Genomic DNA, 16,388 nt, shown 5'->3' with positions numbered 1-16,388 from the left:
AAATACAAAAAATTAGCCAGGCACAGTGGCAGGTGCCTGTAGTCCCAGCTAGTCCAGAGGCTGAGGCAGGAGAATGGCATGAACCCGGGAGGCGGAGCTTGCAGTGAGTCGAGGTCGTGCCACTGCACTCCAGCCTGGGTGACAGAGCAAGACTCCATCTCAAAAAAAAAAAAAAAAAAAAAAAAGAATTCAATGATAGTAATACTTAGTGTTTTTATTTACCTTTACCTTTATCAAATATGTATGTTACTTATACAGGAATAATGAGAGATGATTAGTCCATGAGGGCTCTGCCCTTATTAATGAATTAATGCCGTAACTGCAGGAATGGGTTCATCCTCTTCTCTCTTGTTCTTTGTCCTTCTGCCATGGGATAATGCAGCACAAAGTCCCTCACCTAATACAGCCCCTCAGTCCTGGACTTTCTAGCTTCTAGAACTGCGAGCCGATAAACTTCTGTTCATTATAAATTACCCAGTCTGCCAGGTGAGATGACTCATGCCTGTAATCCCAGCACTCTGGGAGGCTGAGGCAGGAGGATCACTTGAACCCAGGAGTTCAACACCAGCCTAGGCAACATAGCGAGACCCCATCTCAATTAAAAATAATAATAAAAATAAATTACCCAGTCTGTGGTATCCTATTATAGCACCACAAAATAGACCAAGACATGATAGATAAAAGATAGAAGTCAGTGTTTATAGATTTAATAATCATGGAACAAGTCCATTATTTCAGGTAAATGCCTGGTGTGCTTACTCTTAGGCCTGAGTTGGAAGACTTTCAGAAATAAGGGTGGAAGAAAAGTTTTAGATCCATGAAATCCTTATCATTGGAAAGACAGTCCAAACTGACTAAGAAGAGGTAGAAGTTCTGCTCTAGGTGAGCTTATCATGGCCATTCCTGATAAGGATTAGGATTTGTGCCAGAGTCAACCAAACCATCCATTGGGGTAGAAGGAGAGGAACTTCTTGAGATACTGATTAGTATTGTAGTTACATCAGAGCTTAGATCAAAAGCAGCTGCTATTTCTGACTCCTCAGTGGTCCCCTGGAACTAGGGTGAGGCATGGGTTTCAGTCCAAGCACACTTCTTCCATTAATGATCATAGAGTGCCTGGAATATCACAGGACATCTTTCATCACTGAGGGATAAAATGCTCCTCCACCTCAGGCATGAACTTAAAAGATATCTTCATTGAGGAACACAGATATTTTATTGCTATTTTTATAAAGTCTCTGATTATAATAGGAAATAGAGCACTTGGCATATATAAATAAAATTCATATATTAGTTGGAAAGAGACCACAATATAACTTTTTGGAAGTTGCTTTAACAATCCCTGGTTTTAGGCTGAGCGCGGTGGCTTACGTCTGTAATTCCAGGGAAGGCGAGGTGGACGGATCTCCTGAGGTCAGGAGTTTGAGATCAGCCTAACCAACATGGTGAAACTCCGTCTCTACTAAAAATACAAAATTAGCCAGGCATGGTGGTGCATGCCTGTAAACCCAGCTACTCAGGAGGCTGAGGCAGGAGAATCGCTTGAACCCAGGAGGCGGAGATTGCAGTAAGCCGAGATCATGCCATTGCATTCCAGCTTGGGCAACAAGAGCGAAACTCCACCGGAAAAAAAAAAAAAATCCCTGGTTTTGAGAACGTTACCAATTTTTTGTTTTACCTGTTCCTCCTTAATTTTTTTTTTTTTTTTTTTTTTTTTTTTTGAGACGGAGTTTCGCTCTGTCGCCCAGGCTGGAGTGCAGTGGCGCGATCTCGACTCACTGCAAGCTCCGCCTCCCGGGTTCACGCCATTCTCCTGCCTCAGCCTCCCGTGTAGCTGGGACTACAGGCGCGCGCCACCATGCCCGGCTAATTTTTTGTATTTTTAGTAGAGACGGGGTTTCACCGTGTTAGCCAGGATGGTCTCGATCTCCTGACCTCGTGATCCGCCCGTCTCGGCCTCCCAAAGTGCTGGGATTACAGGCGTGAGCCACCGCGCCCGGCCATCCTCCTTAATTTTTAACTCAGGAATGTGACTTGCTTAATCTCTCCAGCAGTAGCTCCTTTGGTATCACAAACAAGAACCTAATTGTCATGGGCTTTCTTCTGCAGAACAAAATGTTGCCTTGTAAGATATTTTCACATTCTGTAGTTTACCTCAAATTTATCAAATTCACTGATTTTAATATTTCCCTTTCTCCCTACCTAATTGCTCTGATTTTTCTTTTCTACTCAAATTCTTCCAGAAGGTATTCTGTCTGATCAATGAGCTCAATTTTCAGCCTGCAGCTTTATAATACATTTTCTAGGGGCCTTGAGCTGACTATTGTGAACAACTATCCTGTTCCATCTTCCTTAAGTGTTCTGATTATGCATAATTGAGATCTCATCATTCAGCTAAAGTTGTAAGTGGCTTCTCTCTTCTTGAACTAATGTTAATATAGTTTGGGTCCTTGTCATATCCATTCCCTGTTGTGATAAATTGTAAAATGTAGCCACAAGATCTTCCCATGATCCTTTGCAATGTGACTTTGCCCTTCCTTCCATCAAGAGATCAGCTATATCCCCACCTGCTGAATCTAGGCTGATTATTATTATTATTATTAATTTTAAGACAGGATCTGGGTGTGTTACCCAGGCTGGAGCGCAGTGGTGCAATCTTGGCTCACTGCAACCTCCACCTCCCAGGCTCAAGCCATCCTCCCACCTCAGCCTCCCTAGTAGATGGTACTACAGGTGTGCACCACCATGCCTGGCTAATTTTTGTATTTTTTGTAGAGACGGGGTTTTGCCATGTTGCACAAGGTGGTCTCTAACTCATGAGCTCAAGCAATCCGCCAGCCTCAGCCTCCCAAAGTGCTGGGATTACAGGCGTGAGACACCATGCCCGGCCTAGGCTGATCTTTTGACTTGCTTTGATCAACAGAATGTGACAGAAGTGATGTGATATGACTTCCAAAGCTAGACATTAGATACATTGCAGCTTCTGCTTTCACTCTCTTATGATACGGTCCTGAGACTGTCATGTAAGGAAGTTCTTCTAGCTTACCAGAGAATGAGAGGTTTCATGAAAAAATAACCAAGGTACCCACCCAGTGGACTGCCAGCACCAGCTGCCAGATGGGTAAGTGAGGCCATCTTGACCTTCCAGCCCAACCACCTCCTACTGAATGCAGCCACAAGAGCAAGCCCAGGCAAAACCAGCAGTTAACTGTCAGCTAACCCAGAGAATAGTAAAAAATGATAAACCACTGCTGCTCTAAACCACTACGTTTTGAGGTTATTTATTATGCAGTAATAGCAGCTAGAACTGCCTTCTCTGTCTTTCACTTTCTGACCTTGTTGAGCCCCTGGCTCTTCATTGACTAATCCAGATAATACAATTTCTTTTCTATTACTTTTCTCCTCAGTGTCAAACTTAAGAGAATTATTCATAACTTTAGCATCATCGTTTTTATAATCAAGAGATTCTTTCCTCTCCTTTTGGAAACCTATGATGTGCTTTCAGTTGTTCCTGAACTTGGTGTTTTGGCTATTTCAACTTCCTATAAGACAGAAGCTATGCTTCACTTTCGCTTCAAGTGCTTTTGCCTCGTGAAGAGCTTTTTTTTTTTTTTTGAGACAGAGTCTCAATCTGTCACCCAGGCTGAAGTGCAATGACACGATCTCGGCTCACAGCAACTTCCACCTCCCAGGTTCAAGCGATTCTCCTGCCGTAGCCCCCTGAGTAGCTGGGGCTACAGGTGCGTGCCACCATGCCCAGATAATTTTTGTATTTTTAGTAAAGATGGGGTTCCACCATATTGGTCAGGCTGGTCTCGAACTCCTGACTTCGTGATCCGCCCACCTCAGCCTCCCAAAGTGCTGGGATTACAGATATGAGCCACCGTGCCTGGCCATGAAGAGCTGTCTTACCTCTAAGAAATTTTCTAAATTCTTGTTCATTATTTTAATATGAACTTAAACTTGTCTACAAATTGCCTTACATTTTCTTCTTGGCCTACACCACAGCAAGTACATTTTCCTCTGGCTTTAGGTTACTCTTTTTTTTTTTTTTTTTTTTTTTTTTTGAGAAGGAGTTTCACTGTTGTTGCCCAGGCTGGAGTACAATGGCACAATCTTGGCTCACTGCAACCTCCGCCCCCCTGGTTCAAGTGATTCTTGTGCCTCGGCCTCCCAAGTAGCTGCGATTACAGGCATGCACCACCACACCCGGCTAATTTTGTATTTTCAGTACAGACAGGGTTTCACCATGTTGGTCAGGCTGGCCTCGAACTCCTGACCTAAGGTGATCCTCCCACCTCAGCCTCCCAAAGTGCTGGGATTACAGGCATGAGCCACTGCGCCCAGCCAGGTTACCTTTTTTTAATTTTATTTTTTTATTTTTTTGAGACAGGCTCTCACTCTGTTGTCCAGGCTGAAATGCAGTGGTGCAATCATAGCTCATTGCAGCCTTGAATTACTGGGCTCAAGCAATCCTCCCGTCACAGCCTCCCAAGTAGCTGGGACCACAGGCATGCACCACCATGTCTGGTTAATTTTTTTTAATTTATTTTTTGTAGAGATGGGGTCTCACCATATTGCCCACACTTAGATGACTTTATTAGTGTTACCTGATTTTATCCAGCCCCATCATGAGAAAGATACATGTAGTCCTATTTTGTTGGCTGTTCTCTTCAAATTAGTTATTAGCTCATGAAACTTCTATTGATATCCTGACACCTTTTTAAGGATTCCTGGCCAGGCTTGGTAGCTCACGCCTGCAATCCCAGCACTTTGGGAGGCTGAGGTGAGTGAATCACCTGAGGTCGGGGGTTCGAAACCAGCCTGGCAAATATGGCGAAACCCCATTTCTACTAAAAATACAAAATTAGCCGGGCGTGGTGGTGCATGCCTGTAATCCCAGCTACTTGGGATGCTGAGGCAGGAGAATTACTTGAACCTAGGAGGCAGAGGTTGCAGGAAGGCGAGATCGCGCCATTGCACTCCAGCCTGGGCAACAAGAGCAAAACTCCATTTCAAAAATAAAAATAATAATAATAAGCTTGCAAGTGTGCTCTTTGTGAAATTCCACCATGGCATACAGTGGCCAGGGCCAGAAAGTGCAGAAGGTTATGGTGCAGCCCATCAACCTCATCTTCAGATACTTACAAAATAGATCGCAGATTCAGGTGTGGCTCTATGAGCAAGTGAATATGCAGATAGAAGGCTGTATCATTGGTTTTGATGAGTATATGAACCTTGTATTAGATGATGCAGAAGAGATTCATTCGAAAACAAAGTCAAGAAAACAACTGGGTCGGATCATGCTAAAAGGAGATAATATTACTCTGCTACAAAGTGTCTCCAACTAGAAATGATCAATGAAGTGAGAAATTGTTGAGAAGGATACAGTTTGTTTTTAGACGTCCTTTGTCCAATATGAACATTTATTCATATTGTTTTGATTACACTTATGTTTTTACAAGATGGCAATAAATGCTGTGGGATTGTTTGTATTAAAACTAATAATACTAATAATAATAATAAATCTTTTTTTTTTTTTTTCTGAGACGGAGTTTCACTCTTGTTGCCCAGGCTGGAGTGCAATGGCGTAATCTCAGCTCCCCGCAACCTCCACCTCCCAGGTTCAAGCGATTCTCCTGCCTCAGCCTCCCTAGTAGCTGAGATTACAGGCATGTGCCACCACTCCTGGCTAATTTTGTATTTTTAGTAGAGACAGGGTTTCTCCATGTTGGTCAGGCTGGTCTTGAACTCCCGACCTCAGGTGATCCACCTGCCTCAGCCTCCCAAAGTGCTGGGATTACAGGCGTGAGCCACCACGCCCAGCCAATTCCTGTTGTTTTTTTTTAATTGTTGTTGTTTTTTGTTTGTTTGTTTGTTTTTTTTTTGAGACCAAGTCTTGCTCTGTTACTCAGGCTGGAGTGCAGTGGTGCGATCTCTGCTCACTGCAACCTCTGCCTCCCGGATTAAGGTGATTCCCCTGCCTCAGCCTCCCTCATAGGCGCATGCCACCACACTCAGCTAATTTTTGTGGTTTTAGTGGAGGCAGGGTTTCACCATATTGCCCAGGCTGCTCTCGAACTCCTGGGCTCAAGTGAGCCACCGGCCTTGGCCTCCCAAAGTGCTGGGATTACAGGTGTGAGCCACAGCGCCCAGCCTCTGTTCTTTCCTAGAAAGAAATCCTCCACAGACTAAAGGGCAAATGCCAGTAAGGCAGTGATAGGGACGGCATTCCAGGGCACTCCCTCTAAATTCTAGATCAGAGCGGGCTGCTCAAGCAGCAAAGGCCCTGCTCTAAGTTGTGCAGGCAAAGATTTTCTGGAGCAGTGGTTCTCAAAATTTGTTCCAGAAACTGGCAAGGTTAAAACTATTTTTATAATAATACTATGACATTATCTGACTTTTCCGTTCCCATTCACTCAGGAGCATACAGTGGATTGTTTCCAGAAAACTCCATTGCCCTGAAAGCTAAGATAATGTGTATTTCTATATTCTTTTTTTTTTTTTTTTTTTTGAATCGCCCTGTCATCCAGGTTGGAGTGCAGTGGCGCGATCTCGGCTCACTGCAATCTCTGCCTCCTGAGTTCACACTATTCTCCTGCCTCAGCCTCCGGAGTAGTTGGGACTACAGGCGCCCACCACCACGCCCAGCTAATTTTTATGTATTTTTAGTAGAGACGGGGTTTCACCGTATTAGCCAGGATGGTCTCGATCTCCTGACCTCGCGATCCGCCCCTCTCGGCCTCCCAAAGTGCTGGGATTACAGGCTGGAGCCACAGTGCCCGGCCATCTATATTCTTGTGTCTTAAATTGTTCTCAGGTTCTTTGGTTGGTTGGTTGGTTGGTTGGTTTGGTTTTTTGGAGACAGAGTCTTGCTCTATCACCCGGGCTGAAGTGCAGTGGAGTGATCTTGGCTCATGGCAGCCCCAACTCCCTGGGCTCAAGCAATCCTCCCACCTCAGACTCCTGAATAGCTGGAACCAGAAGTGTGCACCACCACACCTGACTAATTTTTTTCTTTTTCTTTTTTTTTTTTTTTTTTTTTTTTTTGAGACGGAGTCTAGCTCTGTGGCCCAGGCTGGAGTTCAGTGGCAATCTCGGCTCACTGCAAGCTCCGCCTCCCGGATTCACGCCATTCTCCTGCCTCAGCCTCCCGAGTAGCTGGGACTACAGGTGCCCGCCACCACGCCCGGCTAATTTTTTGTATTTTTAGTAGAGACGGTTTCACCGTGTTAGCCAGGATGGTCTCGATCTCCTGACCTCGTGATCCACCCACCTCCGCCTCCCAAAGTGCTGGGATTACAGGCGTGAGCCACCGCGCCTGGCCTGTTTTTTTCTTAGAGACGAGGTTTTGCCATGTTGCCCAGGCTAGTCTGGAATTCCTGGGCTCAAGCGATCCTCCCACCTTGGTGTCCCAAAGTGCTGGGATTTCGGGCGTGAGGCACCACACTTGGCCTAAACTTTTCTGTTTTAAAATACAAAATGGGCCGGGCGCGGTGGCTCACGCCTGTAATCCCAGCACTTTGGGAAGCTGAGGCGGGCGGATCACCTGAGGTCAGGAGATCCAGACCATCCTGGCTAACACGGTGAAACCCTGTCTCTACTAAAAATACAAAAATTAGCCGGGCGTTGTGGCGAGCGCCTGTAGTCCCAGCTACTCGGGAGGCTGAGGCAGGAGAATGGCGTGAACCCGGGAGGCAGAGCTTGCAGTGAGCCGAGATTGCTCCACTGCACTCCAGCCTGGGCGACAGAGCAAGACTCGGTCTCCAAAAAAAAAAAAAAAAAAAAAAACATATATATATATATAATGGCTGGCTGGGCACAGTGGCTCACACCTGTAATCCCAGCACTCTGGGAGACCGAGGTGGGCAGATCACTTGAGGTCAGGAGTGTGAGACCAGCCTGGTTAACATAGTGAAACCCCGTCTCTACTAAAATACAAAAAGTATGCTGGGCGCGGTGGCTCATGCCTGTAATCCCAGCACTTTGGGAGGCTGAGGCAGGCGGATCACCTGAGGTTGGGGGTTCAAGACCAGCCTGACCAACATGGTGAAACCCCGTCTGTACTAAAAACACATTAGCCAGGTATGGTGGCACATGCCTGTAATCCCAGCTACTCAGGAGGCTGAGGCGGGAGAATCACTTGAACCCGTGAGGCAGAGGTTGCAGTGAGCTGAGATCACACCATTGCACTCCAGCCTGGGCAACAATAGCGAAACTCCACCTCAAAAAATAAAATAAAATACAAAAAGGAGCCAGGCATGGTGGCATGCACTAGTCCCAGCTACTGGGGAGGCTGAGGCAGGAGAATCTCTTGAACCCGTGAGGCAAAGGTTGCAGTGAGCCAAGATCACGCCACTGCACCCCAGCCAGGGCAACAGAGTGAGACTCCGTCTCAAAAAAATAAAATAAAATATAATGTAATGTAACATAATACAATAAATATAGTATGGCATTTTTTTTTTTTTTTTTTTTGGAGACAGGACCACATTCTCTTGCGCAGAGGTGCCATCACACCTCCTCTGTGATCCTGAGCTACAGCAATCCTCCAGCCTCAGCCTCCCAAGTAGCTGGGACTACAGGCACACAACAGCACACCAGCGAATTTTTTATTTTTTGTAGAGACAGGGTCTCACTATGTTGCCCAGGCTGGTCATGAACCACTGTGCTCAAGCGATCTTCCTGCCTTGGCCTCCCAAAGTGCTGGGATTATAGGTGCGAGCCACCATCCCTGGCCTAAATTTTTCTCAGTTTTAAAATATAACAAATACTGATGGAAATACCCATGAAGACAATTTTCAACATTAAGAAGGTTTGAGACCAGAAAGTTTGAGAACTGTAGATTGGAGGGAACATTATCATAACAAAGATCAAATTTTCCTTGACTCTCAATCCTGAGATGCTCCTTTGACTTTAAGGCCTCTCCTTCCTTGGGATGTTTGACCCAGAAAATGGGGTCAAAAACTGCTGCTGCAAACATCTCCAGTGCCACCACCCAAGGTCTGGGGAGACCTATTGGGTCAAAGGTGAAAGGGCAGGGAAGGAGAGGGACCAGGAGGTGGAGGAGGAGGAATAGGAGGAGGAAGAGGGCTGGCCGTGCACCTCCATCCCATATATCTGCTGGAGGCATGTTTCTGCAGGGTATTAGCCCCACCTAGCTCTCTCAGTGCCCCAGGTATCCCCTGCTCTCCCCACCCCCCACCTTGCCCTGGTGCCTTCTGCAGTCCTTCTCCCTCTCAGCATCCCAAGGACTCTTCTGCTTCCCCACAACCCTGGAGCACACCACTCCTGGAGTCTGTGTGCCCAAACCTCCAACAAGGACAATAAAGACAACCTTACCTGGCAGAAATTAAGCTGTTGGCTGAGGGTGGCAGCTCATGCCTGTAATCCTAGTACATTGGGAGGCCAAGAAGGAGGATTGCTTGAGGCCAGGAATTCAAGACCAATCTGACCAACATAGTAGACCCTGTCTCTATTATAAATATTTTTAAAAATTAAGCTGTTACTAGTTTTTTCTTTTTCTTTTTTTTGAGATGAAGTCTCACTTTGTCGCCACACTGGAGGGCAGTGGTGCGATCTCAGCTCACTGCAACCTCCGCCTCCCAGGTTCAAGCAATTCTCCTGCCTCAGCCTCTTGAGTAGCTGGGATTACAGGCGCACGCCACCATGCCCAGCTAATTCTTGTAGTTTTTAGTAGAGATGCGGTTTCACCATGTTAGCCAGGATGGTCTCAATCTCTTAACCTCGTGATCTGCCCGTCTCAGCCTCCCAAAGTGCTGGGATTACAGGCATGAGCCACTGTGCCCGGCAGCTGTTACTAGTTTTTTAAGGAGATCACATGTGAATTAGATCCTGAGTTCTCCTATGTTTGGAAATAATTTTTTTCCAAACGCTGTTGCTATTGAGGCTCCAGAAGTCAGTCTGCCTCCCCACCCACCCCACCCCTTAGAGGTAACAAAGTGTTGTTATCTGGATGAAGCTGATTTTTTACATAGAACTGGAGAGGGGCCGGATATGGTGTCTCACACCTGTAATCCCAATAATTTGGGAGGCCAAGGTGGGAGGATTGTTTGAGCCCAGGAGTTTGAGAACAGCCTGGGTAGCATAGCGAGACCTTATTTCAAAAAAAAAAAAAAATTGGAGAGGATTTCACATTAGTGAGTCACTTAGCTGTCAGGTGTCCCCCACCCCAACAAGTCAAGTGAATTTGACTAGCTGCAGATTCCATATAGAAAGCAGAAAATCTGGGACAGGCATGGTGACTCACGCCTGTTATCCCAGCACTTTGGGAGGCCAAGGCAGGTGGATCGCTTGAGACCAGGAGTTCCAAACCAGCCTAGCCACATGACGAAACCCTGTCTCTACTAAAATACAGAAAAATAGCCAGGCTTGGTTGTACACACCTATAATCCCAGCTACTAGGGAGGCTGAGGCAGAAGAATCACTTGAATCCAGGAGGCAGAGGTTGCAGTGAGCCAAGATCCCACCACTGCACTCCAGCCTGGGTGACAGAGTGAGACTCCCTCTCAAAAAAAAAAAAAAGGAAGCAGAAAATATTGTGTTATTCTTTGTTCTAGCTTCTCCTTACTTAATAACAGTTAACAACAACATAAGATAACTGTGAGACTAAAGATGCACACTCTTGATAATCCTTGTTGCTCATTAACTCAGTAAATGAAAATGTGCCTCATACCTCCCGTGTGCCCTGAATTGTGCGGGGTGCTGGTTATAGTTATGTGCAAGGTAGATGTAATTTTGCTTGAACGAAGTGCCTCAGTGATGTCGTTGAAGGGGTAAAGCCCCCACCACTGACAAAACCATTTCAGTCGACCTAATTTCATTAGCTCTACTTAAGACAAGAGGATTGATTGATTACCTAGCAGCTGTATTGTTTAGTCTGTTTCATCCCTTATTATTTTCATATTAGTAATCCTTTGTCAGCAGCATTTTTTTCTACAAGGATGTCTCTTAAAAGCCACACTTATGTTTGCTGATTGATTTTTTCCTTTTTAGACCTAGACCTAGGATTTTTGTTTTATTTTTTAAACTGAGCCTCGCCCTGTCACCCAGGCTGGAGTGCAATGGCACAATCTTGGCTCACTGCAACTTCCACCTCCCGGGTTCAAGCGATTTTCCTGCCTCAGCCTCCTGGTGAGACCCCATGGGTCTCCCCAGACCTTGGCTACTGACACTGAAGATGTTTGCGGCAGCAGTTTTTGACCCCATTTTCTGCGTCAAACTCCCCAAGGAAGGAGAGGGAGCCTCAAGGAGGGCCTTAGAGTCAAAGGCCCCGGGGTTCAAGCGATTCTTAGATCGCCCCACTGCCCTCCAGCCTACTCAATTGAGTGAGACTCCTTCTAAAAAAAAAAAAATTCCCCACCCCACCAAAATAAAGGAGCCTGAGGAATCTGTGAACAATACCAAAGGGCTGATATTCATGACATCAGAGTTCCAGAAGGAAAGGAGAAAAAGTGCAGTACAAAAAAAAAAAAAAAGTTGAAGAAACAATGGCTAAAAATTTTCTAAATTTTGGCAAAAGACAATAACTGATACTCACGAAGGCCAGCAGAACCTTAACAGAAAAAACCCAGAGAGTCTCTCTGAACTAACTCTGTTTCAGGGGGCTGCTTGATAATAAAATAAATAAATGAATAAAAAAGACAGATCCAAATGAATCCAAATTGAGATAGATTGCAATCAAACTTTGAAAATATAGACAAAGAAAATCTTGAAAATAGCCAGGGAAAGATAATGTATTGCCCACTGCATTCCAGCACTCTGGGGGGCCAAGGCGGGCGGATGACGAGGTCAGGAGTTCGAGACCAGCCTGACTAACTTGGTGAAACCCCATCTCTACTAAAAAGACCAGCCTGACTAACATGGTGAAACCTCATCTCTACTAAAAATACAAAAATTAGCCAGGCATGGTGGCACACACCTCTAGTCCCAGCTACTAGGGAGGCTGAGGCAGGAAAATCGCTTGAACCCGGGAGGTGGAGGTTGCAGTGAGCCGAGATCACTCCACTGCACTTCAGCCTGGGTGACAGAGCAAGACTCCGTCTCCAAAAAAAAATTAATAAATAAATAAAAACATTTTATTATTGTTTTTGAGCCATTAGAAAAAAAAAAGAAAAAACTGTATTTGTGTGTGTGTGTGTGTGTAACAACATTTTAAAATGCTTAACAGGCCAGGCATGATGGCTCACGTGGATAATCCCAGCACTTTGGGAGACCAAGGCAGGTGAATCCCTTGAGACCAGGAGTTCAAAATCAGCCTGGGAAACATAGTTAGACCCTGTCTCTATTATTTTTAAAAAGTAAAAAAAAAAAGTGCTGAATAAAAAGTGTCACCAAAAGACAAAAAAAAAAAAAAAAAAGAGCTGCCACCTCAAAATTCAATGAAAATATTCTTCAGGAATAAAGATGAAATAAAGACATGCTTAGATACAAGGAAACTAAGAGAATGTGTTGCAAACAAAACTCCTCTGAATAAATTGCCATAAGTTCAGATATAAGAGAAATTACATCAGAAGGAAGCTAGGAACATAAGAAATGAATGAAGAACAATAAAAAGGCTAAATACCCGAGTAAATAGCATGTACCCGGGTAAATAGAATATTCTTTTCCTCTTGAGTTTTTGTTTTTGTTTTTTGTTTTTTGAGATAGAGTCTCGCTCTGTTGCCCAGGCTGGAGTGCAGTGTCGCAATCTCTGCCCACTGCAACCTCCGCCTCCCTAGTTCAAGCGATTCTGCTGCCTCAGCCTCCTGAGTAGCTGGGACTACACGCACGCACCACCACCTTGGCTAATTTTTGTATTTTTAGTAGAGATGGGTTTTCACCATGTTGGCCAGGATGCTCCCATTCTCCTGACCTCATGATCTACTCGCCTCAGCCTCCCAAAATGCTGGGATTACAGGTGTGAGCCACTGTGCCTGGCCTGAGTTTTTAAAAATATATTTCATAGTTGAAAACAAAAATTAAGGTAGACGGATCATGAGGTCAGGAGTTTGAGACCAGCCTGGCCAACATAGTGAAACCCTATCTCTACTAAAAATACAAAAATTAGCCAGGCATGGTGGCATGCGTCTGTAGTCCCAGCTACTCAGGAGACTGAGGCAGAATCACTTGAACCTGGGAGGCAGAGTTTGTGGTGAGCCGAGATCCTCCCACTGCAATCCAACTTGGACAACAGAGTGAGACTCCGTCTCAAAAAAAAAGAAAATAATTATACTACTGGCTGGATACAGTGGCTCATGCCTGTAATCCCAGCACTTTGGGAGGCTGAGGTGGGCGAATCACTTGGGGTCAGGAGTTCGAGACCAGCCAGGCCAACATAGTGAATCCCCATCTCTACTAAAAATAGAAAAATTTGCTGGATGTGGTGGCGCGCGCCTGTAATCCCAGCTACTCCGGAGGCTGAGGCAGGAGAATCGCTTGAACCCAGGAGATGGAGGTTGCAGTGAGCCAAGATCGTGCCACTGCACTAGATCCTGGGCAACAGAGCAAGACTTCATCTCAAGGATAAATAAATAAAAATTAGGCCGGGTGAAAGGCCAGGCGCAGTGGCTCACGCCTGTAATCCCAGCACTTTGGGAGGCCGAGGTGGGCGGATCACAAGGTCAGGAGATCAAGACCATCCTGGCTAACACGGTGAAACCCCATCTCTACTAAAAATACAAAAAATTAGCCAGGTGGGGTGACGGGCGCCTGTAGTCTCAGCTGCTAGGGAGGCTGAGGCAGGAGAATGGCGTGAACCCGGGAGGCGGAGCTTGCAGTGAGACGAGATTGCATCACTGCACTCCAGCCTGGGCAACAGAGCAAGACTCTGTCTCAAAAAAACAAAACAAAACAAAACAAAAAATTAGGCTGGGTGTGGTGTCGCACACCTGTAATTCCAGCACTTTGGGAGGCCAAGGCAGGCAGATCACCTGAGGTCAAGAGATCGAGGCCATCCTGGCCAAAATGGTGAAATCCCGTCTCTACTAAAAATACAAAAATTAGCTGAGTGTGGTGGCGCGCGCCTGTAGTCCCAGCTGCTTGGGAGACTGAGGCAGGAGAATCACTTGAACCCACGAGGCAGAAGTTTCAGTGAGCCAAGATCACACCACTGCACTCCAGCCTGGCAACAGAGTGAGACTCCGTCTCAAAAATAAATAAATAAAAATAAATAATAAAAATTAATTATGAGATAGCTTTTACTTTGCTATTTATTCATTTTTATTTATTTTAGAGATGGGGGTCATGCTATGTTGCCCAGGGCAGTCTCGAACTCCTAGCAATCCTTCCTCCTTGGTCTCCCAAAGTGCTGGGATTACAATTGTGAGCCACATTCCTTCCAGCTTACTGGGCTATTTAAAGGTTTCTAATACTACCATATCCTGCTGATCAAAAGCTCTAACTTGCAAAAAAAAAAAAAAAAATCTACCCTGCATATCAATATACTCATATCTATCTATCTAGCTATCTAAAACTGTGAGTAAAACCAAATGGGTAACCACATTTAATGCTACTTTACTGGATAATGTTATTTGATGCTGAGAAGTTTTAAACCTGGTGTCCAGGAGTGAAGCCTTAGTGTAAACACATGATTGTGTCCAGTGATTTGTCATTTTACAAATCCCACACTAGATGGCAGATTTTAAACAGGATTTTCTGGGTCACAAATTAATTAGGAAAAAAATGGCTAGGCACGGTGGCTCACACCTGTGATCCCAGCACTTTGGGAGGTGCAGGGGGACAGGTCACCTGAGGACAGGAGTTCAAGACCAGCCTGGCCAACATGGTGAAACCCCATATCTACTAAAAATACAAAAATTAGCTGGGCATGGATGTGGGCGCCTGTAATCCCAGCTACTCGGGAAGCTGAGGCACAAGAATCGCTTGAACCCAGGAGGCAGAGGTTGCAGTGAGCAGAGATTTCACCACTGCACTCCAATTTAGGTGACAGAGTGAGACTCTGTCTCAAAATAATAATAATTAGGAATATCTACATATAGATCTGCAAAGGAAAAAATCCGGATGTGGAGGCTCATGCCCGTAATCCCAGCACTTTGGGAGGCTCAGGTGGGAGGCTGAGGTGGGAGAATAAATTGAGCCCAGGATTTCGAGACCAGCCAGGGCAAACATGGGGAAACCCCATCTCTACAAAAAATATAGAAATTAGCTGGGCGGCCAGGCGTGATAGCTCATGCCTGTAATCCCAGCACTTTGGTGGATCACCTGAGGTCAGGAGTTCAAGACCAGCCTGGCCATCACGGTGAAACCCTGTCTCTCAAAAAAAAAAAATGAAAAGAAAAGAAAAGAAAAATTAGTTGGGCGTGGTGGCATGCCCCTGTAATCCTAGCTACCCAAGAGGCTGAAGCAGGAGAATTGCTTGAACCAAGATCATGCCACTGCACTCCAGCCTTGGTGACAGAGCGAGACTCTGTCTTGAAATAAGTAAATGAATAAATTAGCTGGGCGTGGTGGTGCCCACCTGTGGTCCCAGCTACTCCAGGGTGCTGAGGCAGGAGGATCACCTGAGCCTTGGGAGGTCGAGACTCCAGTGACCTCTGATCTTGCCATTGCCCTCCAGCTTGGGGGACAGAGTGAGGACCTGTCGCCCAAGCTGGAGTACAGTGGCATGGTTTCTGCTAACTGCAACCTTCGCCTCCCAGGTTCAAGCGATTCTCCTGCCTCAGCCTCCCGAGTAGCTGGGATTACAGCATGTGCCACCATGCCCTTCTAATTTTGTATTTTTAGTAGAGACGGGGTTTCTCCATGTTGGTCAGGCCAGTCTCAAACTCCTGACCTCAGCTGATCCATCTGCCTCGGCCTCCCAAAGTGCTGGGATTACAGGTGTGAGCCACCAGGCCCGGCCAGCATCTGTTTTTTAGTTTAGTTTAGTTTAGTTTAGTTTAGTTTAGTTTAGTTTAGTTTTTGAGAGGGAGTTTTGGTCTTGTTGCCCAGGCTGGAGTGCAATGGTGTGATCTCCCTCACTGCAACCTCTGCCTCCCGGGTTCAAGTGATTCTCATGCCCCAGCCTCCTGAGTAGCTAGAATTACAGGCACCTGCCACCATGCCCAGCAAATTGTTGGTATTTTTAGTAGAGATGGGGTTTTGCCACGTTAGCCAGGCTCCGAACTCCTGAACTCAGGTGATCCACCTGCTTCGGCCTCCCAAAGTGCTGGGATTACAAGTGTGAGCCACCTTGCCCAGCCCAGCATCTGTCATTTTTTGACTTTTTAATAATAGTCATTCTGACTGGTGTGAGTTTGTATCTCATTGTGGTTTGCATTTCTTTAACGATTAGTGATGTTGAACATTTTTTCATGTTGTCCAAGTGTATGTCTTCTTTTGAAAATTATCTGTTCATGTCCTTTGCTCACTTTTTTTTTTTTTTTTTTTTT

The 16,388-nt window shown here is 45.6% G+C and overlaps 1 protein-coding gene and 1 pseudogene across 1 annotated transcript in view, besides 2 other annotated features; one reads left to right on the top strand and one right to left on the bottom strand.

Annotated features, from left to right (window-relative positions):
* KDM4C (lysine demethylase 4C) overlaps positions 1-16,388 on the bottom strand; it is a 454,786-nt gene that overhangs the window by 421,595 nt on the left and 16,803 nt on the right. The window lies entirely within an intron of this gene.
* Positions 3,389-3,448: an enhancer, noted in NCBI's record as "active region_28205". NCBI's record gives its function as "activates an Ori minimal core promoter by ATAC-STARR-seq in GM12878 lymphoblastoid cells {active_cell/tissue: GM12878}" and the evidence as "EXISTENCE:reporter gene assay evidence [ECO:0000049][PMID:35858748]".
* Positions 3,459-3,548: an enhancer, noted in NCBI's record as "active region_28204". NCBI's record gives its function as "activates an Ori minimal core promoter by ATAC-STARR-seq in GM12878 lymphoblastoid cells {active_cell/tissue: GM12878}" and the evidence as "EXISTENCE:reporter gene assay evidence [ECO:0000049][PMID:35858748]".
* On the top strand, positions 5,040-5,501 carry SNRPEP2 (SNRPE pseudogene 2; annotated as a pseudogene).

Source organism: Homo sapiens, chromosome 9, assembly GCF_000001405.40.
Source record: "Homo sapiens chromosome 9, GRCh38.p14 Primary Assembly".
Classification (NCBI taxonomy): Eukaryota; Metazoa; Chordata; class Mammalia; order Primates; family Hominidae; genus Homo; species Homo sapiens.
The sequence above is the reverse complement of the archived record's forward strand: the minus strand, read 5'-3'. Positions and strand labels throughout refer to the sequence as shown.